This window comes from Homo sapiens, chromosome 11 (genome assembly GCF_000001405.40).
Source record: "Homo sapiens chromosome 11, GRCh38.p14 Primary Assembly".
In the NCBI taxonomy this organism is placed as follows: Eukaryota; Metazoa; Chordata; class Mammalia; order Primates; family Hominidae; genus Homo; species Homo sapiens.
In genome coordinates, this window is record NC_000011.10 from 56,980,844 (window position 1) to 57,008,214 (window position 27,371).

The following is a 27,371-nucleotide window of genomic DNA, read 5'->3' on the forward strand; positions in this document are numbered from 1 at the left end:
TCAATAGCAGGGCAGTTCTCAAAAATGAAAGCAAAAAGTCCCTGACGGCATTAAAACAAGAATTTTCTTCCCCCTGGAGAGCTTAACTTCGCTTCAGCAGAAAATAACTAGCAAACATTGTTTTTCCCATTACGTCTGAGCCCCTGGAACCTCAGGTTCTCCAGGAAGTGGGTATTGATCTCTTATACCCCAGCTATATACTCGCTGATGAGGAGGAACTGAAAAGAGAGACCCTGGTCAGCAATCAGTGCCAGTTGCAGAAAGAGAACCTGTAGGCAACCTCAAAGTAAGTAAAACAAAGCAAATAGCATTTTTTTCAAAATCTGACATGTATCATGCCAGTACATGCAGGAAATTTTGGAAGAAAAGATTAGCCAAAGTCCCAGCATGTTTTCCCTCAAAACCAGGAGGAATTACTTCATCCCTGGTAATTTACTGGAAATAAAGGGATGGATTTGGTTCAGCCTGAGTATTACCTGGGAAAGAACATGAATGAACAAATGATTGAATAAATCAATCGATTGCTCAATTAACCAATTAATATAATATACCTTTAATGTATTATTTGCATTGTTATTAAAGTCATTTGCTGGGCATACTTTCCATGCCCAGCCCTGTGCTGAGAAATTTACATAAATTTGCTCACTTAAATCTCACATCACTGCACAATAGACTTTACTTTTTCTTCTTCATTTTTTTAACTTTTTATTTTGAAATACTTATAGATTCACAGGAAATTCCAAAGATAATAAGGAGAGGTCCCATATATCCTTCACCTACTTTTTCCTCAAGGGCACAGTTTTACACAATTATAACATGACATCGAAACAAGATTTTAATACTGGGACAGTTGTGTATAGCTTTATGTCATTTCATATGTATGTATACTTGTTTAGCTACCACTGCAGTGAAGATACAGCCTTGCTTGATCACAGAGCTCAGATTCTACATGTCTGCTATGTGCTACCCCTTCTGGTCACACCACACCCCTCCCCTTACCACTACAACCTCTGGCAATCACCAATCTATTCTCTATTTCTGCAATTTTATCATATTGATAATGTTTTGTAAATGAAATCATATAGTGTATGATCTTTGATGTTGGCTTTTTTACACTCACAATAATGCCCTTGAGAGTCATCTAAGTTGTTGCATGTATCAACAGTTTATTCCTCTTTATTTTGAGTAATATGTCATAGCATGGATGTACCACAATATTTTAAACCATTCATTTATTGTAAGGCACTTGATTGTTTACAGTTTTGGGCAACTACAAATGAAAATGATATGAAAACTGTTGTACAGCTTTTTGTGTGAATATGTTTTACGCAAATATAATTGCCTACAAGTCCAAAGACTGGGTTGTATGGTACGTGTATGTCTAGCAGCTTTTTACACAACTGCTAAACTTTTTTCCAGAGTGACTACCATTTTCATCAGCAATGTATGAGTGATCCAGTTACTCTGCATCTTTCCAGCATTTGTTATTGTCACTGTTTTTCTTTTTTTTCATTTTAGCCATTCTGTAGTGATATGTCATTTGTAGTGTAGTGATATCTCATCTTGTTCTTATTTTGGATTTCCCAAATTGTTAATGATGTTGGACATCTTTTCGTGTGCTTATTCACAACTCATATAGCCTTTTTTAATAAAATGTCTATTCGTTTCTTCCACTTGTTTTCTAATTTAATTTTTTTTTTTAGTTTGAAAGTTCTTATATTTTCTAAATACATGTTCTTTATCAGATACTGTATTTGAAAATGTTTTCCTCCAGTCTGTAGCATGCTTTTTCATCCTCTTAACTAGGTCTTTAACAGAGCAAAAGTTTAATTTTAATGACATCCAATTGTGGAAATTTTTTCTTTTTGGATAGTGCTTTTGATGTCATATCTAAGAACTCTTCACAAAACCTATCCTAAAAATTTTGCCCTGAAGATTTTGTCTTAGATTACTCTCTAAGAGTTTTAAGGTTTTCTATTTTACATTTAAAGCTATGATTCATTTTGAGTTAATTTTCATATAAGGTATGAGGTTTAGGTAGGGGTTCTTTTTTTGCCTATGAATATCTAATTGTTTCAGCATTATTTATTAAAAAAGCTTTTGACTCTGCTCAAAAATCAAATGGCTGCACTTGCGTGAATCTGTGAATTCACTATTTTGCTCCATCTTTGTATCTATCATTCCACCAATACCACAGTATTAATTACTGTGGATATATAATAAATCTTGATGTTAGGTAAAGTGATTCATTTCATTATTTTTCTTCTTTTTCCGAATTGTATTAGCTATTCTAACTCCTTTGCTCTCCCCTATAAATTTAGAATATTTTTGTCCACATGCCAAAAATATTATGCTGAGATTTTGATTGCAGTTGTGTTAAACCTATATATCAATTTAGGAAAAATTGACACCACTATATTGAGTCTTCTAACTCCTAAACTCAATAGATGTATTTATTTAGATCTTCTTTGATTTCTTTCATCAGCTTATTGTAATTTTCATCATCAAGTCCTATATTGGTTTTGTTAGATTTATACCTAAGTATTTCATTTTTTGAACTTTTATCAATGGTGTTGTATTTATCCCAGCTTCTACATGTTCACTGCTAATACGGTAATAGTGTTGATTTTTTTAGAACTATCTTGTATTCTGCAACTTTTCTGAACTTATTACTTTTAGAAGTTTTTGGTAGGTTCTTGGATTCTTCTACATAAACTATCGTATCATCTACAACGACAGATTTATTTCTTCCTTTCTGATCTGTATCACTTTTTATGCCTCTACATCTTTTCCTCTGACTAGAACTTCCCAAACGATGTTGAATAGCACTGAAGAGAATGAGTATCCTTGCCTGTTCCCAATTTTAGAGGCAAGCATTCAGTCTATAACTATTAAGTGGGATTTTAACTATAGATTTTTCTGTAGATGCTCTTCAGCAGGTTGAGGAAATTGCCCTCTTTTCCTAGTTTTCAGGGATTTTTTTAAATAAGTAGATGTTAAATTTTGTCAAATTCCTTTTCTTCATTAGTTTATATTATCTGGTGATTTTTCTCTTTTAGACCTGTAATATACTCCACTTGGTCATTGTGTATAATTTTATATACATAGCTGAATTATACTTGCCAATATTTTGTTACAGATTTTGCATTTATATTTATTAAAGATATTGGGCTGTGGTTTTTTGTTTGTTTGTTTGCTATTTTGTCCGCTTTTGCTAATAAGGTAATATTGAATTCATAGAGTAAGCTGGGAAATGTTCTTTTACATCTGTTTTCTGAAAGAAATTGTACAGAGTTGAAGTTAATTCTTTTTTATACATTTAGTGAATTTTCCAGTGATATTGTTGAAAGAAAGTTTTTACATTATAAATTCAGTTCTTCATGGCTGTAGGGCTATTCAAATTATCATTTTTTTCATATAGGTTAGTTTATACATTTCAATTAATTGATTCATTTCAGTTGTCAAATTAATATGTGTAGAGATGTCTGTAGTGTTGCAGGACTTTTCCTTAGTTCAGTTAAAGATGGGGTTCTTTGTCCCACCATCACAAAAATTCAGGCTCGCAGACAATTGCAATGGTGAGTGAGACATGGTTTTATTGGGTGAAAAGGAAGAAAAGGGGGAAACAGGGATTCTCGCGACGCCAGAGTCCCTGCTAGAGCACTTCCCACCCACCGTTCAAATCCCAGCTTCCACACAGGAAGAGGAGGAGCCAGGCTCCTCCCTGCTGCAGACATCGTGAACTTCCTGAGATTCTCCCTCAGTGGGCAGGGGGGCTGGAGTTTCTCTGAGGGCCGCCTCCCACCTGGCTGTCTCATTGCCCCCTCTAAAGAAGTACATCTAACTGCCCTTAGATTAAGGATAAGGACGAAGACCAATCTTAACTGCTTCCTGCTGACAGGGGCCTCTATTTTGGGGAAACAGCAATAAGAGCTTCCCTATTTAAGGGTTCCTGGCAGAAGGGGCCATCGTCTGAGACTCCAGTTGCATTACTGTTTGGTGTTTGATGGCCTGAAGGCAAGAACAGACAAACCGGGTTATTAGAAAACATGTATCAAAGTGAAACAAGGGGAGGGGTAAGGACAGCTCAAAAATTCCGAGACCTTTTACCAGTTTACACAGGGAGAGGGAGGCCAAAAGCCCAGCTGCGAGAAAACTTTTCACTTTTGCTGACATGCTGGGCGTCTGGGTTCCCTTCCCCTGAGCCCAATCCTAAAACAGCCAGTTTAAGGTTTGGGAAATTAACTTTTCAGTTTGGAGGATGCATCTGAGGGGAGTGTCCTATAGTACAGAGACACAATTACCTATTAGTGAAGAGAAAACCAAGGAGAAGAAAGGAAAAAGAAGGCATTTTTTAAAGGAGTCCCAAGGGTTCAGGATGCATTTGAAAGGGGTACAGACTAAAGATGAATGGCTACCCATCTAGAAAGACGCGAGCAGGGATCCCTGGTTCCCTTCTCTTTCTAGCAGCCAGAGATTGCTGGTTCAATTGCATTGTGGTCAGGAGCACAAACTGTGTGAATTCAATTCTTCTAAAATTACAGAGATTATATACAATCTGTCTTGATACATGTTCTGCAAGTGCTGGAAAAAATATGTATTGTATTCATGTGAGTTGGACCTTTCTATAAATATCAATGATATCCTGTTGGCTTACGGTGTTGAGTTCTTCTATATCTTTGCTGATTTTCTGTCTAATGCAGTAAATTTCTGAGAAAGGAATATTGAATTCCCCAGTTATAATTATAGATTGACCTTTATGGCAATTCAATTTTTTCAGTTTTTCCTTTATATATATTATAGTTTACTTGTTTGGTGCCTACACATTTAGGATTGCTATTTCTTCTTGATAGATTAACATTTTTATTATTATGTAATATTCTTCTTTGTCCTTGGTAATTTTCTTTGCTGTGAAATATACTTTAATATTTCTATAGACATACTTTCTTTCTTTTGATTAATGTCTGCATGATATATTTCTTGCTCCCCTTTATTTCAAACCTATATGTATCTTGAAGAGAGTTTCTTGTACACAATATAATTGCATCATTTTTCTATGCACTCTGCCATATTCTTTCTTTTAATTGTTATTAACTGAAAGAAACATGAAACATCAGAAGGTTAAGAAAGTAGAAAGGGTAAAATACAACAGACTTTCCTTCTCTCTTGAGTTTTTAAAATTATATTTGAGAGTTGAAGCAAAAATTATAATACTGCCTAAGGTTGTTCTCAGTGTACGTGAAGGAAATAGTTACAACAATTACATTATAAGTGGGAGACAGTAAAGAAACAAAAAAGGATGTAAGGTTGCCACACTTCACTAAAACTGGTAAAATGGACACAAGTTATGATTATACAGGCATATCTCAGAGAGATTGTGAGTTCAGTTCCAGACCACCTCAATTAAGTGACTATCACAACAAAGCAAGTCACACAAATATTTTGGTTTCCCAATGCATACAAAAGTTATGTTTATACTGTGCTGTAGTCTATTAAATGTGCAATATCATTATGTCTAAAAAAGCATATGCCTTTATTTAAAATACTTTATTGCTAAAAAATGTCAACACAAAGAAATTAAATGAGCACATGCTACTGGAAAATGGTGCTAATAGGCTTGTTTAATGCAGGATTACCACAAACCATTAAATTATTTTTTAAAAATGCAATATCTGTGAAGCAAAATAAAATAAAGTATGCTCATATAATGTAACACCTAGAGAACCCACTAAAAAACTATACAAAGATATCTAATAATAACGCTATATTACAAAATCACTGTAGATGCACCATAATGGGATTATTTTTAAAAAGTTCAAGTGACCCACAGAAACGCTGGAAAAAGAAAAGAGATAAACAAAAAAGAAAATGAACACTTAATTTAAAAAAATGGCAGACAACTTTAACGTATCAATGACCACATAAAACATAAACAATTTTCTCGGTTTTTCAAACAATAAAGGTCATGAATTCCTCTTATAAAAGTGAAAGTTTAGAAGTTTAGAAAATAATGTTCTAGTTCACCTAATGCCACACCCATGAATAACTATACTTGAATTGATGTGCACACTTTCTGGCATTTATCCAGAAATAAATAAAAAGAATGAAAGCAGCCAGGTGCAGTGGCTCATGCCTGTAATCCCAGCACTTTGGGAGGCCAAGGTGGGCGGATCACCTAAGGTCAGGAGTTCGAGACCAGCCTGGCCAACATGGTGAAGCCCCGTCTCTACTAAAGATACAAAAAATTAGCTAGGCATGCAGCATGCACCTGTAATCCCAGCTCGGGAGGCTGGGGCAGGAAAATTGCTTGAACCTGGGAGGCAGAGGTTGCAGTGTGCTGAGATGGCACCACTGCACTCCAGCCTGGGCAACAGGGCAAGATTCCATCTCCAAAAATAAAAAAGAATGAAAGCTAGAGACAGTAGGAGTGACAGAGAGTTTAGTTTTTTCAAGGAGTCCACAATTTACATATTTTTCTACAACATGCTTTTCTCTTTTGACTCCATAAGAGTATATATTTATCTCACTGCTTTAGACTAGATATTAATAAATAATATGAGTCTACTAAAATTTATACAATTCTATTTCCTAATTTTGCTATTAGAAGGTTTTCATTAACTTATTTTCAATGCAAGTTACATAATATTATAGATAATATGCATATTACTGATACTATAAACAAGCGAATGAATATAAACTTCTAGATGAGTTCTGTGATCCCCATTGTACAGAGGAAGTAACTAGAGCCAAAGGGAGTTATAGGCTTTTTTCTACTAATGGATGAGACAAAAATTCAAAACCAGGGCTGCTTATTTCCTTTCCACTGCACAATATTGACTATGAATGAAGCCTGAGAAATCCAGCACTATTCATATATTAAGCATGTTTAAAATGCTTGGGAAAACTCCCATGATGTGAGTTTACCTATGTAACAAACCTTCACACGTACCCCTGAACATAAAATAAAAGTTTAAAAAAATGTTTGGGCAGTTGGCCATTTTCTTCGTAGCACTCATTTGATTAGAAAACACCTTCAGCATAGATGAAATAAAATATTTCATACTGAATCAACCAACCGCTAACTCGATATAAACATAGAAATGTATAAATTCTGCATGAAATTGGGGGTGGGGCTTGTACTACTTTTGTTAGCTCCTGAAAAGCATCCCCATAATTTCATATTATTTTATTTCAATCCAAATGATTGAAGTCAAATTGATATGATGAATGTCATTACTCTATCAAAATTCTAGCTTAAGTAGACCTCTGGCCTATTCTACCTTCTTCTAATAAAGGTTTATCCCAATAAAAGGAACACTCCTTGAAAGAACTGTATTTCTTTCATTTTACAGTAAATTTACCCTAGGAAGAAACTTATACGAACTTACTATACTTCAGTCCTTGTTAGATGTTAAAATGAAGAGAATTGTTTCTTGTTCCTCAACTACAGAATTGAAAAAAAAAAGTAATAGAAAATGTAAGGCTATTTCTCAGGCATCCATTACATAATGAGGTTATTTTGCTTGTAAAGAATATCACATAGATGAGAGATGCAGTCTAGGGATACTAATACAAAGACACGTTGAAGCCTTCAAACATATGTGAACCATGAACACATTTCAAAAAAATTCTCTCTAATTCTATTAATTTCCAAAGCTGGAACCAAAATTAAAATGGTAAGTGGCTGTGAACAATTATAAGTTTCTAAAAAAGTAAAAAATTACATTTTAGCATTACTTTAAAAATATGGATAGCTGTTTAATACAGAGGAAAATTGTCAATCTATGTTTCTAAGAACTATACACATTAGGAGTTAGGATACTTCTAAGACAATCTCCTTCGATTTTGAAGATGAATCCATTTCATCTTACATCAAGTAAATCACTCTTTACTTGATGATTATAAATACATTTCTTAAATTTGAAAATGAATAACACTATTGTATTTGTCATAAAAATACAAATAGAAAAAAGTGACTTGAAATATAGAGCCATTTCATTGCAAGAAATCTCAAAGATTTCCCTTCTTTTCTGGGTCCTTCTCTTGGTCATTTCTAGACTTTTACTAGCCATGACACTAGGAAACAGCACTGAAGTCACTGAATTCTATCTTCTGGGATTTGGTGCCCAGCATGAGTTTTGGTGTATCCTCTTCATTGTATTCCTTCTCATCTATGTGACCTCCATAATGGGTAATAGTGGAATAATCTTACTCATCAACACAGATTCCAGATTTCAAACACTCACGTACTTTTTTCTACAACATTTGGCTTTTGTTGATATCTGTTACACTTCTGCTATCACTCCCAAGATGCTCCAAAGCTTCACAGAAGAAAAGAATTTGATGTTATTTCAGGGCTGTGTGATACAATTCTTAGTTTATGCAACATTTGCAACCAGTGACTGTTATCTCCTGGCTATGATGGCAGTGGATCCTTATGTTGCCATCTGTAAGCCCCTTCACTATACTGTAATCATGTCCCGAACAGTCTGCATCCGTTTGGTAGCTGGTTCATACATCATGGGCTCAATAAATGCCTCTGTACAAACAGGTTTTACATGTTCACTGTCCTTCTGCAAGTCCAATAGCATCAATCACTTTTTCTGTGATGTTCCCCCTATTCTTGCTCTTTCATGCTCCAATGTTGACATCAACATCATGCTACTTGTTGTCTTTGTGGGATCTAACTTGATATTCACTGGGTTGGTCGTCATCTTTTCCTACATCTACATCATGGCCACCATCCTGAAAATGTCTTCTAGTGCAGGAAGGAAAAAATCCTTCTCAACATGTGCTTCCCACCTGACCGCAGTCACCATTTTCTATGGGACACTCTCTTACATGTATTTGCAGTCTCATTCTAATAATTCCCAGGAAAATATGAAAGTGGCCTTTATATTTTATGGCACAGTTATTCCCATGTTAAATCCTTTAATCTATAGCTTGAGAAATAAGGAAGTAAAAGAAGCTTTAAAAGTGATAGGGAAAAAGTTATTTTAAATCAGCCCCAGTTGTTAACATTCAACTCAACAAATCATCCAACATAGCTGTTCTGCTAAAATTTAATTTTTCCACAATAAGGAATATGTAGAAAGATGTCAAATTAATAATCTAACATCACCTCTAGAGGAATTTAAAATACAAAAGCCAACAAATCCCAAACCTAGCAGAAGAAAAAAATAACTAAAATCAGAACAGAACTGAACAAAATTGAGACCCAAAATTTATGCAAAAATTTAATGAAACCAAAATTTGGTTTCTTGGAAGAATAAATAAGATTGGTAGGCTGCTAGCCAGATTCACAAAGAGAAAAGAGGGAATATCTAAATAAGCACAACCAGAAAGAACAAAGGTGACATTACAACCAATCCCACAGAAATACAAAAAAATACTCAGAGACTATTATGAACACTTCCATGCAAATAAGCTAGAAAATATAGAGAAAAATGGATGAATTCCTGGGAACATACAGCCTCTCAGGATTTTATCAGAAAGACACTGAAACCCTGAGCCAATCAATACCAAGTTTTGAAATTGAATCTCTACTAAAAAAAACCTACCAACCAAAAAAAAAAATCCCAGACCAAAAGAATTTGCTGTCAAATTCTATCAGATGTAAAAAGAAGAGCTGGGGCCAATTCTAGTGAAACTATTTGGAAAAATTGAGGAACAGGGACTCTTCTGTAACTCATTCTATGAAACTAGTATCAGCCTGATACAAAAACCTGACAAAGACACAATGAAAAAAGAAAACTGCAAGCCAGTATTCCTGATAAACATAGATGCAAAACCATCAATGAAATACTAGCAAACCAAATTCAACAGCACATCAAAAGTTAATTCACCATGATCAAGTAGGCTTCATTCTTGGATGCAAGATTGGTTGAAAATGTGCAAATCACAAAATGTTATTCACTACCTAAACAGCATTTAAAACAAAAACCATATGATCTCAGTAGATGCAGAAAAAGCCTTCAATAAAATGTTACCTTCTTTTATAATAAAAATTCTCAACAAAATAGGGATCAAAGCAACATACCTCAAAATAAATGCCAGCTATGCAAAATTCACAGCCAACATCATGAATGGGCAAAAACTGAAAGCATTCCCCTTTGAGAACTGGAACAAGACAAGGATGCCCATTCTCACCACTGCTCTTCAAGATAGTTCTAAAAGTCGTAAGCAAACCAACGAGGTAAGAGAAAGAACCAAAAGGCACCCAAATAGGAAAAGAAGAAGTCAAACTATCTCTTTTTGTGGACTATATGATTCTATATCTAGATAACTCTAAAAACTCTGCCAAAAGGCTCCTGGAGCTGATAAATGAATTTACTAAATTTTTAGGTAACAAAATCAAAGTACAAAAGTTAGTAGCACTTCTAAACCCCAATAATATTAAGCTGAGAGCCAAATCACAAATGCAATCCAATTTACAATAGCTACCAAAAATAATAAAAATATTAGGAAAACATCAGACCAATAAAATAAAATATCTCTACAGAGAGAATTATAAAATACTGTGCAAAGAAATCAGAGAGGACAAAAATAAATGGGAAAACAGTCCATACTCATGGATTAGAATAATCAATATCATTAAAATGGCGAAACTGCCCCCAAGCAATCTACAAATTCAATGCTGTTCCTATCAACCATCAATGCCATTTTTCACAGAATTAGAAAAACTATTCTAAAATTCATATGAAACTGGAAAAGAGCCCAAATAGTGAAAGCAATCCTTAGCAAAAGAACAAAGCTGGAGGTTTCACATTACCTGCCGTCAAAACATACTGTGGGGCTAACAGTGGCAAAAAGAGTCTGGTACTATTACAAAAACGATGACATAGACTAGTGGAACAGAATAGAGAACATAGAAAGAAAGCCACACATACACACACACACACACACACACAGAGAGAGAGAGAGAGAGAGATCTGATCTTTAACAAAGTCAACAAAATTAAGCAATGCAGAAAGAACTTCTATTCAATAAATGGTGCTGGGATAATAGGCTACCAATATGCCAAATAAATGAAACTAGACGCCTACGTTTTGCTATGCACAAAAACTAACTCAAGACGGATTAAAGATTTAAATGTGATACCTCAAACTAAAAGAATTCTAGAAGAAAACTTGGGAAACATCATTCTGAACATCAGCCTTGGGAAATAATTTATGACTAAGTCTTCAAAAGCAATTGTGACAAAAACAAAACTTGACAAGTGTAACCTAATTCAATTAAACAGCTTCTGCATAGCAAAAGAAACTATCAAAAGCATGTACGGGAAACCTACAGAATGGGAGAAAATATTCACAAACTGTGTATCCAACAAATCTAATATCCAGAATGTATAAGTATCTTAAACAACTTAACAAGCAAAAACAAATAACCCCATTAAAAAGTGAGCCAAGGATATCAACAATCAACAGACACGTCTCAAAACAAGACATACAAGAAGCCAACAAACATATGAAAATATGCTCAGCACTAATCATCAGAAAAATGCAAATCAAAACCACAATGAGAAAGCCATCTCACACCAGCAAGAATGTCTATTATTAACAAGTCAAAAATTAATAGATGCTGGCCAGGCTGTGGAGAAAAGGGAATGCTTATACACTGTTGGGGATGTAAACCCATTCAGCCACTGTGGAAGGCAATCTGGGGATTTCTGAAAGAACTTAAAACAGAACTATCATTTGACCTAGTAATCCCATAACTGGATAATATTTAAAAGAAAATAAAGTTTTCTACCAAAAAGACATAAGTGCTCATATGTTCACTACATCATCATTCATAACAACAACAACATAGAATCAACCTAAGTGCACATCAATGGTGGATTGGATAAAGAAAACATGGTATGTATACACCATGGAATACCACACAGTCATAAAAATGAACAAATTCAAGTCTTTTGTAGCTACATGGATACAGCTAGATGCCATTATCCTAAGTGAATTAACGTGGAAACAGAAAAGCAAATACCACATGTTATCATGTATAAGTAGGAGCTAAACACTAAATACACAGAGACACAAAGACAAGAACAATAGACACTGGGGACTACTAGGGGGAAGGAGCAATTGGGGTAAGGGTTAGAAACACTAGCTGTTGGGTACTATTGTGTATTAGTACATTTTCATGCTGCTGATAAAGAGATACCCAAGACTGGGCAATTTACAAAAGAAAGAGGTTTACTGGACTTACAGTTTCACATGGCTGGGGAAGCCTCACAATTATGGCAGAAGGTTAAAGGTGCATATCACATGGTGGTAGACAATGGAAGAGAGCTTGTGCAGGGAGACCTCCATTTTTAAAAACATGAGGTCTCATGAGACTCATTCACTATCACAAGAACTGCATAGGAAAGACTTGCCCCTGTAATTCAACCACCTCCCACCGGGTTTCATACATGATACATGGGAATAGTGGGAGTTACAATTCAAAATGAGATGTGGGTGAGGACACAGCCAAATCATATCATTCCAACCCTGGCCCCTCCCAAACTTTATTTCCTCACATTTCAAAACCAATTATGCCTTCCCAACAGTTCTCCAAAGTCTTAACTCATTTCAGCATTAACTCAAAAAGTCCACAGTCCAACATCTCATCTGAAACAAGGCAAGTCCCTTCTGACTATGAGCCTGTAAAATCAAAAGCAAATTAGCTACTTCCTAGGTAAAATGGGGATACAGGTGTTGGGTAAATTTACAGCCATTCCAAGTGGGAGAAAATGGCCAAAATAAAGGGGTTACAGGCCCCATGCAAGTCTGAAATCCCACAGGGCAGTCAAATCTTAAAGCTCCAAAATGATCTCCTTTGACTCCATGTCTCACATCCAGGTCATGGTGATGCAAGAGATGGGTTCCCATCGTCTTGGGCAGCTCTGTCACTGTGGCTTTGCAGGGTATATCCCCACTCCTGGCTGCTTTCACAAACTGACCTTGAGTGTCTGTGGGTTTTCCAGGTGCACAGCTCAAGCTGTCAGTGGATCTACCTTTCTGGGGTCTGGAGGATGGTGGCCCTCTTCCCACAGCTCCACTAGGTGGTGCTCCAGTAGAAACTCTGTGTGGGGACTCTGACCACACATTACTCTTCTGCAATGCCCTAGCAGAAGTTCTCTATGAGGGCCCCACTGCTGCAGCAAACTTCTGCCTGGGCATCCATGCACTTCCATACATTCTCTGAAATCTAGGTGGAGGTTCTCAACCCTCAGTTCTTGACTTTTGCGCACTCTCAGGCTCAACAGCTTGGAAGTTAAAGCTTCCAAGACTTGGGGCTTCCACCCAAAAGTCTCTGACATGCCCTGGAGATATATTCCCCATTGTCTGGGTGAATAACACTTGATCCCTTATTACTTATTCAAATTTCTGCAGCCAAATTTAATTTCTCCTCAAAAAATTGGATTTTCTTTTTTATCACATTGTCAGGCTACATATTTTCCAAACTTTCATGCTTTGTTTCCCTTTTAAAATTGAATTTCTTTAACACCATGCAAGTCACATCTTGAATGCTTTGCTGCTTAGAAATTTCTTGCATTAGATATTCTAAATCATCTCTCTTGAGTTCAAAGTTCCACAGATCTCTAGGGCAGGAGCAAAATGTCACCAGTCTCTTTGCTAAAACATAACAAGAATCACCTTTGCTCCAGTTCCCAAAGAGTTCCTCATCTCCAACTGAGACCAACTCAGCCTGAATTCTATTGTCCATATCATTATCAACATTTGGGGCTAAGCCATTCAATAAGTCTCTAGAGAGTTCCAAACTTTCCCACATTTTTCTGTCTTCTTCTGGACCCTCCAAACTGTTTCAACCTCTGCCTGTTACCCAGTTCCAAAGTCACTTCCACATTTTCAGGTTATCTTTTCAGCAGCACCCCACTCCTGGTACAAATTTACTGTATTAATCTGTTCTCATGCTGCTGATAAAAACATACCTGAGTCTGGGCAATTTACAAAAGAAAGAATTTTATTGAACTTACAGTTCCACATGGCATGGGGAGGCCCCACAATCATGGTGGGAGGTGAAAGGCACATCTCAGATGGTGACAGAAAAGAGAAGAGAGCTCCCATTTTTAAAACCATCAGATCTCATAAGACTCATTTGCTGTCATGAGAACAGCACAGGAAAAGCTCACCCCTATAATTCAGTCACCTCCCACCGGGTTCCTCTCATGACAAGTGGGAATAGTGGGAGTTACAATTCAAGATGAGATTTGGGTGGGGACACAACCAAACCATATCATATTAAAATGAGAGACTTCCCTGATCCTCCTCACAGGAAGTGTGACAGGGGTGTGGCTTGCCTGTTTGGCTGCCACCAAGCAAGCCACCACTGCTCAAACCCCTGACAGGAGGGTGAGCATGGAGATGAGCAGTTGCAGGAGCCAGAATGTGTGCTTTGGTCTCCAGCCCCATGGTAGTGTCCAGGGGTGGGTGCCTGCAGCCCCAGTGTTACAATGCTCTTTTAGCCTTGCCATCTGCAGAGGGCTTAAGTGTTAACCAGCTCAGTGAATCCTCTGCCTACCCACAAGGGCAAACGGCCAGTGTGACAGCTTTCTGCATCCCGAGCTCTTGTCCAGCATCCCAGAAGAATCAGGTCACACATGAGCTTGAAGGGTGAATGTGTAGTTATTGAAGTGGTTCTCAGTGGGATGGATGGAGAACTGGAAGGGGGAAAGAGTAAGAGGATGACCTTCCCCTGGAGTTTTGGCCATACATTGGCCAAACTCCTCTTCGATTGCCCCCAGCTGAACTCCTCTTGCTGTTCAGTCATTCCTTTTCTTCTCTCTCTCTCTCTGCCACACCATTCTGCCATTTGTCTTGTTTGTCTCCTTGTCTCGTCTCATCTGCTTCTGAAGCCTGGTGTTTGGGGTTTATATGGGTTGAGGATAAGGGGGGGCATGGTGGGCCAAAAGGCAATATTTTGGGTGCAAAAACAGAAATGCCTGTTCCTACTTAGGGCCATGGGTCTCCAGGCTTGAGAGTTAGGCCTTTGCCAGGGTACTGCCCTCTTCTACCCAGTATTTCCCTGTCTCCTGTCCATATCATTTCCCCCTCTGAGTAGGCACATCTAACTGCTGCTAGAATATGGGCGATGACCAATCTTAGCTACTTCTTGTTGACAGTGGGCATAGTTTTGGGGAAAATGGCAGTCAGATTCTTCCTAGAGGTCTATCTAAGAGTCCCTGGCAAAGGGGAACCATCGTCTGAGGGTCAGATTGCCTGACTGTTTGGAGTTTGATGGCCTCTATGTGAGAGAGAAAAAAAAAAACAAGTTTTGTAAGGTTAAGTGTGCATGCGTTAAATGTGTATTATACAAGGAAAGAATCTAGTGCCAAAGATTACAGAAATAAGAAGTGTACAGAATAAGAATGGTAATTATTCTAAAAACACTATTGTGCCCCATGGTATAGAACAGAACAAAGGTAAGAACAGCAAGCATAGGCAACACTATAAGGAGGATATCCATGGAAGTTAAATTCATAACACTTATCTTTTGTGATTTTTAGCTTGAGGTCCATGATCTCTTCACATTGGTACTTTGGGTGCTCTTCTGGGTCAACGGCGGTGACTCCATCACCTTCCCAGGCCTTTACTCAGGTATAATGAATTCAAGAGTCTATTTCTGTGACCTTCACTGCCCTAAGAGTAGAAAGAAGAAAAGTGTAAGGTCCCTCTCAACCTAGGCCTATAGAGGAAGAAAAGGAAGGAAATGCCTTTACTAGCACTAGGGACCCTAAGTTAATAATAGAGGTCGCCCTGGTTCATGGGATTGGGCCTCTGACAATTGTTGCAGTTTCTGTTGGAAATGGGCCAACGAGGTTATGTATTTAATTAAATCAGAGGTTTCTTGGTCTAGAAAGAAATAATTGGTGAGAAAAGGCTGTCCATACATCATTTCAAAGAGACTCAAACCCAGCTTTGAAGGAGTGTTTCTAATATGTAGCAAGGATATGGGGAGAAGGGTAGTCCAGCAGAGATGAGTTTCCTGAGAGTTTCTCAAAGAGACTCAAACCCAGCTTTGAAGGAGTGTTTCTAATACATAGCAGGGATAAGGGGAGAAGGGTAGTCCAGCAGAGACGAGTTTCCTGAGAGTTTCCTGAGGTACCTTTTGATAATATCATTTGTCTTTTCTACCTTTCCTAAGGACTGTGGTCTCCAGGCACAAAAAAGATGGTACTGTATACCTAGTGCTTTTGAGACCCCCTAGGTGACAGTCACCTTGAACAAAGAGCCATTATCACTCGGGAGGCACTTAGGGAGTCCAAAGTGAGGAATTATCTCATTGATTAGTACTTTTATCACCTCAGAGGTTTTCTCTGTCCAACATGGAAATTCTTCTACCCAGTTAATGAAAGCATCTATCCATACTAGGAGATTCTGGATGCCTCTTGCTTTTGGCATATGAGTGAAATCCATTTGCCAAAAGGTAGCCTTTGTCCTCTGGGTTCCTGAGGGAAGAAGCCATCAATTAAGAGGATTGTTTTTAAAGCAGGTCTCACAAGCATTATCGACCTGTTTAATTGTTTGTATAAGGTTTTTGCCTGAGAACAATCTCTGAGAGAGTTGATAAGCTTTATTCTTACCTAGGTAGAAGGACTGGTGAAGGCTTTTAAGAGTTTACCATTGGTTGGCAGCTGGTATATGAAGCTTGCCATTGTCTGATTGTAGCTATCCTGGGGACTGAAGGATGTTTCCCCAAGAGGTGGCCCATTATATTTCCACAGGAGAATATTGAGGTTTTATTTCTCTTATGGGTCCCTCCCAGATCAGTGGGGCTTCAAGTGGGTCAGAGACCTGGGCCCCCCTTACTGATGGATTTAGCTCCTTGGTCTGCCAGCCTATTTCTCTTGGCTATTTCATCCATCCCTCTTTGGTGGCCTCTACAATTTATTACTGCCACTTTCCATGGGAGGAAAGCTGAGGATGATAGTCTGTAAATTTCCTAATGGTATTTAATGGGAGACCCATTAGCTGTAAGGAAGTTCGTCTCTTTCCAGATAGTGGTATGGGCATGGAGGACAAGGAAAGCATACCTAGAATCTGTATAAATGTTAACTGTTTTTCCTTTGCTTAATTCAAGCACCCTCATGAGAACAATTTTTTCAGCCAGTTCTGCACTTTTGCCAGAGAAGAGATGTGCACTCTCAACAAAATCACTCAGGGTAACTATTGCATACCCTACTTTATGGGTTTCTTATTCTACAAAAGAACTCCTATCTGTAAAGAGAATCCAGTCTGAGATCTCTAAGGGGGTTTCCTTGAGGTTCTCTCTGGCTGCATAGGTTTGTGCTATTTGTTCACAGTCATGTTCAGGTTCCTCAGCTTCCTCTGGGAGGAAGGTGGCTGGATTTAGGGAGCGACAGGTTTTTAATTGGACTGCAGATCCTTCTAATAACAGAGCTTGATACCCAAGGAGGCAGTTGTCTGATAGCCAGAGACTCCCCTTAAAAGATAGTAGTCCTGCCACATTATGTGAGGTATAGACAGTTAAATTATTCTCCATGGTTAACTTAGTAGCCTCTGGTACCAGCAAGGCCACTGCTGTGATTGCCCAGAGACAGGCTGGCCATCCTTTGGCTACCAAATCAAACTCCTTACTCAGGTAGCCTACAGGCTTCTGGGCTGACCAAAGGCCTGTGTTAGAACTCCCACTGTCATTTCCTTTCTCTCCGACACAAAGATTAATCATTTTTCCTATGGGGAGACTAAGGGCTCGTGCCTTAAGCAAGACTTGTTTTACTCAGTCAAAGGCCTTTCTAGCCTCTGATTCCCATATTAGACAGTGAGGTTTAACTGCCTGAGTCTCCTTTCTTAGGTGTTATAAGGGACAAGCTATTTCACCATACCCAGGTATCCAGGTCTGCAGAATCCTGCAATGCCTAAGAATCCCCTCAGTTGCTTGAGGGTTGCGGGAAGGGAAAATGGAAAATGGGTTTAATTTTCTCTTCACCCAACACTCTTGTGCCCTCTGAGAACACCAGGCTTAGATACTTCACTGAAGCGTGACAGAGACGAGCTTTAGATTTTGAAACCTTATATCCTCAGTTAGCCAGAAAATTAAGAAAAGCCTTACTGCCCTCCTGAGAGATTTCCTCAGTTGGAGCACAGAGAAGAAGGCCATTGACATATTGTAAAACTTTAAACTAAGGATAAAGGACAGAGGATTATTGAGGTCTCTCAATAATCCCTGCCCAAACAGGTGGGGGCTGTCTCAGAAGTTCTGAGGTAACACCGTCCAGGGTGGTTTGGTTAGAGGGATCCTCAAATGCAAACAAATACTGAGAGTCAGAGGGTAATGGTATGCAGAAGAAGGCATCCCTTAGGTCCAGCACTGTGAACCATTTAGTTCCCTCAGATGTTTGAGCTAGCAGGGTATACAAATTGGGAACCACTGGGTGTATTGGAACCACAGCCTCATTAATGATATGGAGGTCCTGAACTAGTCCCCATTCCCCTTTGGGTTTTTGTACCCCCCAATATTGGGGTATTGCAAGGGCCATTTCAGGGTTTGAGGAGGGCTTGCCTCTTCAAGTTATCAATGATGGCTTCTAGTCCTTTCCTGACTTCTGGTTTCAGGGGATATTGTTTCTGGTTAGGAAAGGAGGTAAGATCCTTAAGATGGACCTGGACCAGTATGGTGGTTGTGGCTCTGCCAATTTTCCCTCGAGTTGCCCAAACTTTTGGTTTAAAATGGTCTCCACTAGGGGCAGACAAAAAGTTTGCACAGGGGCCATCAGGATGGGGTCCCCATATGAACCAGAATATCCCCACCCAACAGAGGATTTGGGCTTTCCAGCATAATTAGAAAAGCATGGGTGAACCAAAGGTCTCCCCAGCTACAACTAAGTGGTTGGGAAAAAGATCAGGTTAAAGGCCTTTCCTGATATGTTCCTCATGGTCTTACTAAGAGAGGAGAGAGGGTCCATAATGGGGAGGAGAACTGAGAGACTAGCCCCAGTGTCCTAAAGATGGTCTACTTTTTTCCCCTTCAATTTCCAGAATTATCTGGGGCTCTCGGATGATAATAATGGTCTGGAACACCAGACTCAAGAAGAAGAGCCCCAGGACCTGTCAATCCTACTGCTGGTGTCCCCAATGACAATCTACCCTCCAGGTTTCCCCACGACAGATTGGACAGGTCAAAGTGGCTTCCTTATGCTGCCTGGGCAATCCTTCTTCAAACGCCCTGGCTTGGCCCATCTGTAGCAGTTAACAAGTGCACCCTGGGAATTCTGGGTTTGTGGGCTTGCCTGGCATCCATTAAAGCCTCTGTCTCTTTTCTGTATTTCCTCTCTCTCTCTCTCCTGGGCACCCCTATCTCTATTGTATAAGACTGACATGGCTACTTGCAGGAGGTTCTGTAAAGTATTATCTGGTCCCAGGGCCTGTTTTTGCAGCTTCCTCCTGATATTAGGGGCTACATGAGTAATAAATTTATGCTTTAGGGTTAGTTTTCCATTTGACTGAATCAGAAGATAGAGAGGTGTGCTTTATCAAGGCCTCTCTTAGCTTTCTCAGGAAGACAGTGGGATTTTCATCAAATCCCTGGTCAATCATGGATAACTTAGTATAATTGAGAGGCTTAGTCTTAGTCCTATGTAATCCCTCCATTATGCACACCTGAAAGTGTCTCCTCTTCCAGCCTCCCGTCTTGTCATTGGGATCTCATTTAGGTCATCCATTGGTACTGCTTCTCTTCCAGTTAGAGGATTTCACCCCCTTCCCTGATGCTATATGTGATAAAAAGTTCATCCCCAAATCTCTCTGCTGCTTGTAGAGTGGCCTGCTTCCCAGTCTTTATCAGGGTCTAATTCAAAAGTAACATAACATCTCTCCAGGAGAGTTCAAATTATTCAGTGAAATTCTGGAAAGCCTCTATATATTGATCAGGGCCATCTGAAAACTTGTCGAGATCCCCCTTAATTTGCCTTAACTCTTAAAAGGAGAAGGAGACTTGGACCTGACTGAGGCAAAATTAACCAGGCATCTGTTGGAGGGGCAAGAGTGAGACTAGGACTTGTCTATGGTGAGGATTTCTAAGCGGGGGCAAGTGTAAGGCTGAAGTTGGATAGGGAGGTCAGGGCCGACCTGGAGGAACAGGGCTGGAAGGAGCTGGCTCCTCTGCTAGGGGTGTCTCTGGAATTTGTATTTTTAGTTTCCTTGGCTTGCCCCTTGCAGCCTTTCCTGAGATGGTTAACATGAGGGCTGGATTAATCCTACACTGTCAGCGAAGGCCTGGGTTGTTCTGCAAGTTACAGAAAGCCTGCAAATATGGGGCCTCAGATCATCTGTCTGCACATCTACAGAAAAGATAACACTGCAGGATGGTATTGAAATAAATTGTTCCTTCCTAAGGCAGATCCAGTCCTTCATAATTTCACCAAACCTCTGTGCAGAGGGCTATGAGGCATTTTTCTTCCAGATTCTAAGGGTCATAGCAGTCCCAGTGGTTCAGGATAGACTCCAAAGGAATATAAGCAAAGGGTGATGAAAAGAGCTGGTTGCCCATTCAGAAAGACAAGGAAATAGAGGTGACTCTCATTTCCCTTCCTTCTTTCAGTGAAAACTCAGAGTGTGAAGAGAGAGAAAACAAGTGTCCCCTTTTTCTCTTCCATCTTTTGTCCCTGAGTCCTGGAGACCTTGGCAGCTCCCACCCATGGGTGCCAATGCGACATGTACCCATGATGCAGGGAAGGCCTAGAGAATAGGAATTATTTGCCCTCACCTATGCCTCCATCCTCCCTACTGCTGGCAACCTTTGAGATCCCTGGGCTCATTTATGTTATGGAGCATGGCCTCCTTCCATGTGGTGGGGGTTTAGTCAGCAGGAATTGGTCCTGCCCATTCACATTGTGCCTGTTGCCTGGCTTTGACTCCCTCAGATCTGGTTTTCCTTTCTAAGGATTCAGCCTGAAGCTTGGAATCGAATTTGAGACAAAAAAAGAAAAAAAAAAGGTATTTCAGGGGCTGTCTGTATCTGTCTAGATGGTCTCAAATTAGCCCTGTTGAATTTGCAGTTATCAGCCAGCAGGGGTCGCTCCTCTATTATTTTTCCTATCATAAGCAGCGTGCTGTGGATAGGAGCCCTCTCATTTAGAAAAGAAAAAAATAGTTTAAGAGGCAAAAGTGAGAGGTCCTGGGGGAAAAACACCTTGCTCAGTGCAAACAGGTTCCTTTATCATTGTATCCTTCACCTGGTTCAGACCAGGGTGACCTTCTTGGTCAGGGGAGGAAAAGTTCCATCGGCATGGCAGGTGGGAAGTGCTGGACAGCTAGCCACATGAGGCCCCGGCAGCAGTTGTGATTTTCTCCCACCCCTCGTGGCCATTGGGCATGGCTTATGCATGCTGTCGACATGCCCAGGCACCCAAGCCAGGAAGGGAGTGGGCGAGGAGAAGAGGTGTCATGCGCTGCGCGTCTGTGACTGTCAGGTTCAGGATGGGGATGGTACCTCTAAGAATAAACAGAAACCACATTGTTCTGAATTTCACCTTTGATGGCTGCGCCAAATGCTCATTATATTTAGTATCATTGTCGCGGTTTGTAGCAAAACCCTTAACATTATCAGGGAAGAGATAAGAGGCATTTCAAACCTTGAGAGAAGTAAAGACACCAGGCAAAGTCTGGGAGTCTTGGCCAACGGAGTTGAGTCTTGGGGCCTTCCAGAAAAAAAAAAAAAAAAAAAAAAAAAAGCCCTTCGGTTGCCCTAGAGCTTTACTCCAGTTCTGTGGTGGATAGACTTCTCTGAAGAGAAATATAGTCAATGTTCTTTTTGTCTGTAGGAAAGAGAGAGGTGGCAGGGTCTTGGAAAAGACACAGATCCTCATTTTAACTCACCCTTCTTTGTATCCCAGATGGGGCCCCAAATGAAATGGGAGAGTTCCCTGATTCCCTTTGCAGGATATGCAATAAGGGTGTGGCTCACAGGTTTGGTCACCACCACTGGTCAAACCCCTGATAGGAGGGAGACGGGGAGCACGCAGATGGTCAGGTGCAGGAGCTGGGGTGAGTGCTTTGAGCTCCGGCCCCACAGGAGTGTCTAGGGGTGGGTGCCTGCTGCCGCAGTGTAAAAATGCTCTTTTAGCCTTGCCATCTGCAGATGGCTTAAGTGTTAACCAGTTCAATGGACCGTTTGCCTTTTTGCAAGGGCAGAGGGCCAGTGTGGCAGCTTTCTGTATCCCAAGCTCTTGCCCAGCATCCCAGAAGAATTGGGTCACACACAAGCTTGAAAAATGAATGCAGGGCTTTACTGAGTAGTGGAGGTGATTCTCAGCAAGATGGATGGGGAGCCGGAAAGGCGATGGAGTGGGAAGATGATCTTCCCCTGGAGTTTTGGCCATCCAGCAGCCAAACTCCCCCCAACTGCCCCCAGGCGAATTCCTCTCGGCATTCAGATGTTCTTTCTCTTCTCTCTCTCTCTGCTGTGCCTTTCTTCCATTTGTCTTCTGTCGTCTCCTCATTTCTTTGTCTGCCTCTGGAGTCTGGGGTTCAGAACTTATATGGGTATAGGATAGGGGGGCATAGCAGGCCAAAAGGCCACTTTTGGAGTACAAAAACAGAAATCCCTCTTTTCACTTATTTCTGGCGGGTCTCCAGCCTTAAAGGTGGGGCCTTTGCCAGTGCACTGCCCTCTTCTACCCAGTATCTCTCTGTCTCCTGTCCATATCACTATACTCACTACCTGGGTTAAGGAATCATTCACATCCCAAACCTCAACATCTTGCAACATACCCATATAACAAACCTGTGCATGAAACCTCGAATCTAGAATAAAAATTGAAATTATTAAAAAGTAAAATAAAATAGGAAACATATTCACATTATAAACCAATGCTGCTTTTTTTAAATAGATAAGCTCTTTAAGATTGGAAAATATAATAGATATATCTCCTAAGGCTAAAAATTGCTTCCCAAGAGATACTGACACTATATTAGTTTTAAAGTTTCTGACCACCATTCAAGCAGAAAGGAATTAAATGAAAACACTCTCTCTGTAAAGATAGTTAGGGAGATGCCAAATCACAAAGAAAATGTTGTAACATTTTTCTAGAAGTTATCTAGTGTTATCTAGATGTTATGGATGGTTAATTAGTTTCTTTATTGGCTCTGAATAATGGTGTGACTCATCCTGCCACCAGGAAAGATGAATGTCCTCACTAATATGGAACATAAAGGTGAGGAAAATACTTGCTCAACGTTGGATTCCCAACATCCACCATATTCTCAGCACATTGTAGTATCTGAATAAACATCTGTGGAAGAAATAAATGGACAAAGGAAAGTGGAAAGGAAAGACCAGAAATCTAGACAGAGCATTCTCACAGGGATTGAGAGAAGTCAGCTGCAGTCCAGCACAGCTGTCTCTGGGTTGAAAAGTGAGGCAGCAACAAGAGCTTTGCCCAAGCTTACTGGGTGAAGCAACTGCCTATAACAACATTGAACAGTGTTATTGTAAATAAACACACAGAAAGTACATGTCTGTCATTTTATATGCAGAAAGGTAGAATAAAAGAGCAACAGGATAAATGTGAGCAGGTTAATTCCCTCAGCTCCTCAATGTCTTAACGTTATAAGTTTTTCAATACACAGTTTATGGAATAAAATATGTGAAACCAGCTTGGTAGCTTGAGCAAGCTATCAGGAACCTCCAAGGATTGTTGGGTTTTTATTACTAATGTTTCTTTTTGAATTTTGAGGTCAAGTTTGTGGATGTGTATGCGTGTATGTATGTGCCACAGAAGACATAGGGGCAGAAGGGTCTAATGCAATACAGGAAGTATAGACACCAAGAAGAACATGGGCAGAGCTGTCACTTAGCCTAGAGGAGTAGTGGGTAATCTTGGCAGTGGATGCATGTGTGAGGCCTCCATCATTCCTCACCAGAAAAATTACACATTTCATGGATTAATCCTCAACACCTGACACATGATTCTTTGCATAGATAACTTAACAGTACAGTTAAGAAAGAAGTCAGGCTGATGCCAAGGATATTGATCCTACTGCCAATATCGTACTGCCAAGGATATTGGTGCTCAATCTTCTATGAGGCAGAAGATAATGGTTATCTATCACTACAGTGAATGGGGAAGTGATTTGGGGGGATAGTAAACATAACAGTACATCAGAATTATTCCAGGTGGAGTGGAATGGAGTGGAATAGTGCCACTCTATAAGACTTAGATTAGGTAGTGGTCCTCATTATATTGTTACAGGATCCTTGGGGTGTTGCTTTTCTGGCCTGAAACCTCTGGCTAGTGGCACCTTTGCCTGAGTTTTGCTTGGGCCCACTGGGCTCATTCCACCAACTCGGTCTGGCAGGCTGCACTCAGCTTACACTACCAGCCTGGATCCCACTCCTGCCAAGGGCAAGTCAGGCATGGAGTGGTGAGGGGTGTGTGAGCAAGCGTAGGGTCCAGCAACTGCACAGTCAGATATGCTGGCTGCCACAGCAAAGCAGGAAGCTCTAGGTGCTGGCACAGGAACTGGCTCTCTGTGAGGCTGTGTCTGGACCAGGCACACTACAGGCAGCTTTCCTGGCTGGCACCAGGGAACATAGTGGCACCTGGAAGCTTGGAGATGCCAGGCACCACAGGACCCCATAAAGGAAGGCACAGCCTTGGCTCAGGAAGCTCCTAAGTCTGTGCTCCCAAAGAGGCTGAACCTCTTCTTTCCTTCTCTTCACCCACAACATGGCAAGTAAGGGGCATGTTTCAGCTCCATTTGTGTTATAGCTTCTTTAGCTCCACCATTCAGTGGGTCCTGAGTTCTTGTCCTGTGACCAGGAAGAATCTGGTACACAGAGAAATGGAGGGTGAGCAAGATACAGAGGAGCTTTATTGAGCAATAGAACAGTTCACAGCAGACTTGCATGGGGTAGTACCTTTCTGCAGTCAGGGTGTCCTGATGAGTGTTCAGATCCTAGCACAGAGGAGACCCTGGAGTGGGAAGCTTCTCTCTGCAGGCAAGTTATCCTGTTGTCTTCCCGGCTCTCAGCAGACAGCAGGCCCTTGAGTGGGTAACTTCTCTCTCCTGGTGGTCATCCTGATGTCTCCTGCTATCAGCAGAGAGGGTAGCTGCTCTATGCACCTAGTCGTCCCATCATCTGCCAAGCTCTCTCTGAGCACGGGGCTTTTATGGGCCTCAGATGGGAGAAAGCGCATGGTGATTGGTCCATGAGCAGCCATGGGTAGGCCCAGAAAATACGCCACAAGATCTCCCTCTGGTCAGTGGGAATCGCAGCCAAGCCCAAGTCTTCTGGCCCTCCCTGGCCTGAACATGGGGTGCACCCTTCTGCCCAGGAATCTGGCTACATCCTGCTGCCATTCATAGCCCCTGGACTTGGTACTGACTTTGCTCTGAGATCAGAGTGGGCACCCACAGCAGGGAAAAGCCAGGCAGTGAGAGCAGGCATTTCCAAGCCTGTGGGGTCAGTGGGGCCTTCCTGGGACCTCAAGAGTGGAGGGATGCCTGAGTCTGCAGCTGTGGTTTGGGTGGTTGCAGCTGCACAGGGTTGGGGGGAGAAGCCAGGGATCCTGCCCTCTCTGTGGAGCAAGAGGCCCTTTGCAGCCATGGTTTGAGCAGCAGCAATGACACCCAGGGAGCTCTCACCCTAATTCGAAAGGGGCAGGGCTCCCACTTGTCCCCAGCTTCTGCTGGGCCCACGGAGCATGCAGCCCCAGCCACACCTCCCTGCTGCAGCTGGTGTGATGGAAGCAACTGGCCACCAGGAGCAGCCGCGGCCATCAATATCCCCAATTAATCCACCAATCCAGGAACTATGAAACCCACACTGATTATGGCAGAAAATAGACTATTACAATCTTAGCCTAATGGAAGCACCAATCTAGCTGCCATCCCAGATGTGCAATTGTTACTGGAACAAACAGCCTCTAGAAGTATTCACTGGCACTAATTTGGAAATGTGTTCTTTTCCACACTTATCAGGAAGCAAGTTCAGAAGCAACGTACATTCTCCTAGCATAGCCATCCCCAAACATTCCCCCAAATTCCCAGGGCTAGCTGAACTCTCCTCAGCCACAGCGTAGCCTGTGGGACCTTGATCATCGGGAAAACTCTAGAACATTGCTCTGGTCCACTATATTGATGACATCATTGGACCTGAGGAAGAGGAAGTAGCAAGTATCCTGTAGAAGCAAGTACTCTGTAGTAGTTTGTTACAGAAGCAACAGGAACAGGAAACTACTGCAATACTCATGAAAAATAATTGTACCAAGTAACATGTACAACAAAGTATATAGTGATATTGTGTATAGTAGAAAAATCTGGAAACTACTCCAACATCCATTGGCAGAATGTCCTAAGAAGCAGACACCAAGATGGGATTACACATGCAAACATTTTGTTAGGGGGATACCTATGTAAAAGGAAATAGGGAAGACAATGAGAAAAGCTAAGAAAGATGCAAGTCAGACCCCAAGTCAAGAAGAGAGGAAGACAAGATTGAGCAGAAGCATGTTAGACTGTCCAAAGTTATTGAGAAATCCTTGAACCAAAATGGACTGACAAAGGAGCCCTGTGTCTCCCAGGTATGGGTCTACCTTAGAATCCATTTTGCACACAGACTTTAGCAAGGAGCAGCCCACAGGAAGTTGGGTGTCAGAAAAACTACTACAAAGGATTTCAAAGTGAGAAGCTGAGATCCTGGGTCATTTCCACTCATGAGGGAGATCTACAAATTCATTCACATGGCTGCTACACAGATGAAGGAATAAATTAATTAGATTTTAATCACATAATGGAATATCGTGCAGCAGTGAAAATGAATGAACCACTGCTACAACAACACAACAAATAAGATTTAGTACTGTTGATTTTTTTTAAAAAATCACAGAATAAAATAGAAGAAAATGTTTCATTAACTTCAGTAACAGGCAAACTAGAAAATATATGTTTCAGGGGTGTGTGTGTGTGTGTGTGTGTGTGTCTGTGTGTATGTCTGTGTGTGTGTGTGTAAAGCTATACATCAAAAAATAAAAGAATCAAAGAAACATTCATAATGTTGCTATTTGCAGGTAAGGATGAGGGTAAGCAGATGCAAAGTACAGGGAAAGAGAACATTGGTAAGTATATATTGTAGATAATTTTTGAGACTTTGGACTGGATTATTCATTTAATAAATTATTATGTAATTAATATTAAGTGGGGCTGTGCATGGACCAATGGCAACAGTGTGTCATGAAGCAGGGTGATGACTAATCCAATTCTCTGCACATTGTTATGATGTTTAATTAAAATAAAATTTCAGAAAGTTCAGAAAATTGAGTGCTTTCTAAGAAACTTCTTATTACACAAAACAGGCTATGACTTTACATTGAACATCCTCAGGGAGACTGTGTACTCACCTAA

The 27,371-nt window shown here is 40.5% G+C and overlaps 1 protein-coding gene across 1 annotated transcript, besides 1 other annotated feature; it reads left to right on the forward strand.

Annotated features, from left to right (window-relative positions):
* The first annotated feature begins 8,070 nt into the window (after positions 1–8,070).
* On the forward strand, positions 8,071–9,000 carry OR5AK2 (olfactory receptor family 5 subfamily AK member 2). The gene has a single exon (NM_001005323.1). It carries the CDS (start codon positions 8,071–8,073, stop codon positions 8,998–9,000), a length of 930 nt encoding a protein of 309 aa, NP_001005323.1.
* Positions 25,033–25,534: an enhancer, noted in NCBI's record as "H3K4me1 hESC enhancer chr11:56773351-56773852 (GRCh37/hg19 assembly coordinates)". NCBI's record gives its function as "activates a minimal SCP1, AML or CMV promoter by ChIP-STARR-seq in naive H9 embryonic stem cells {active_cell/tissue: H9 hESC(naive)}" and the evidence as "EXISTENCE:reporter gene assay evidence [ECO:0000049][PMID:30033119]".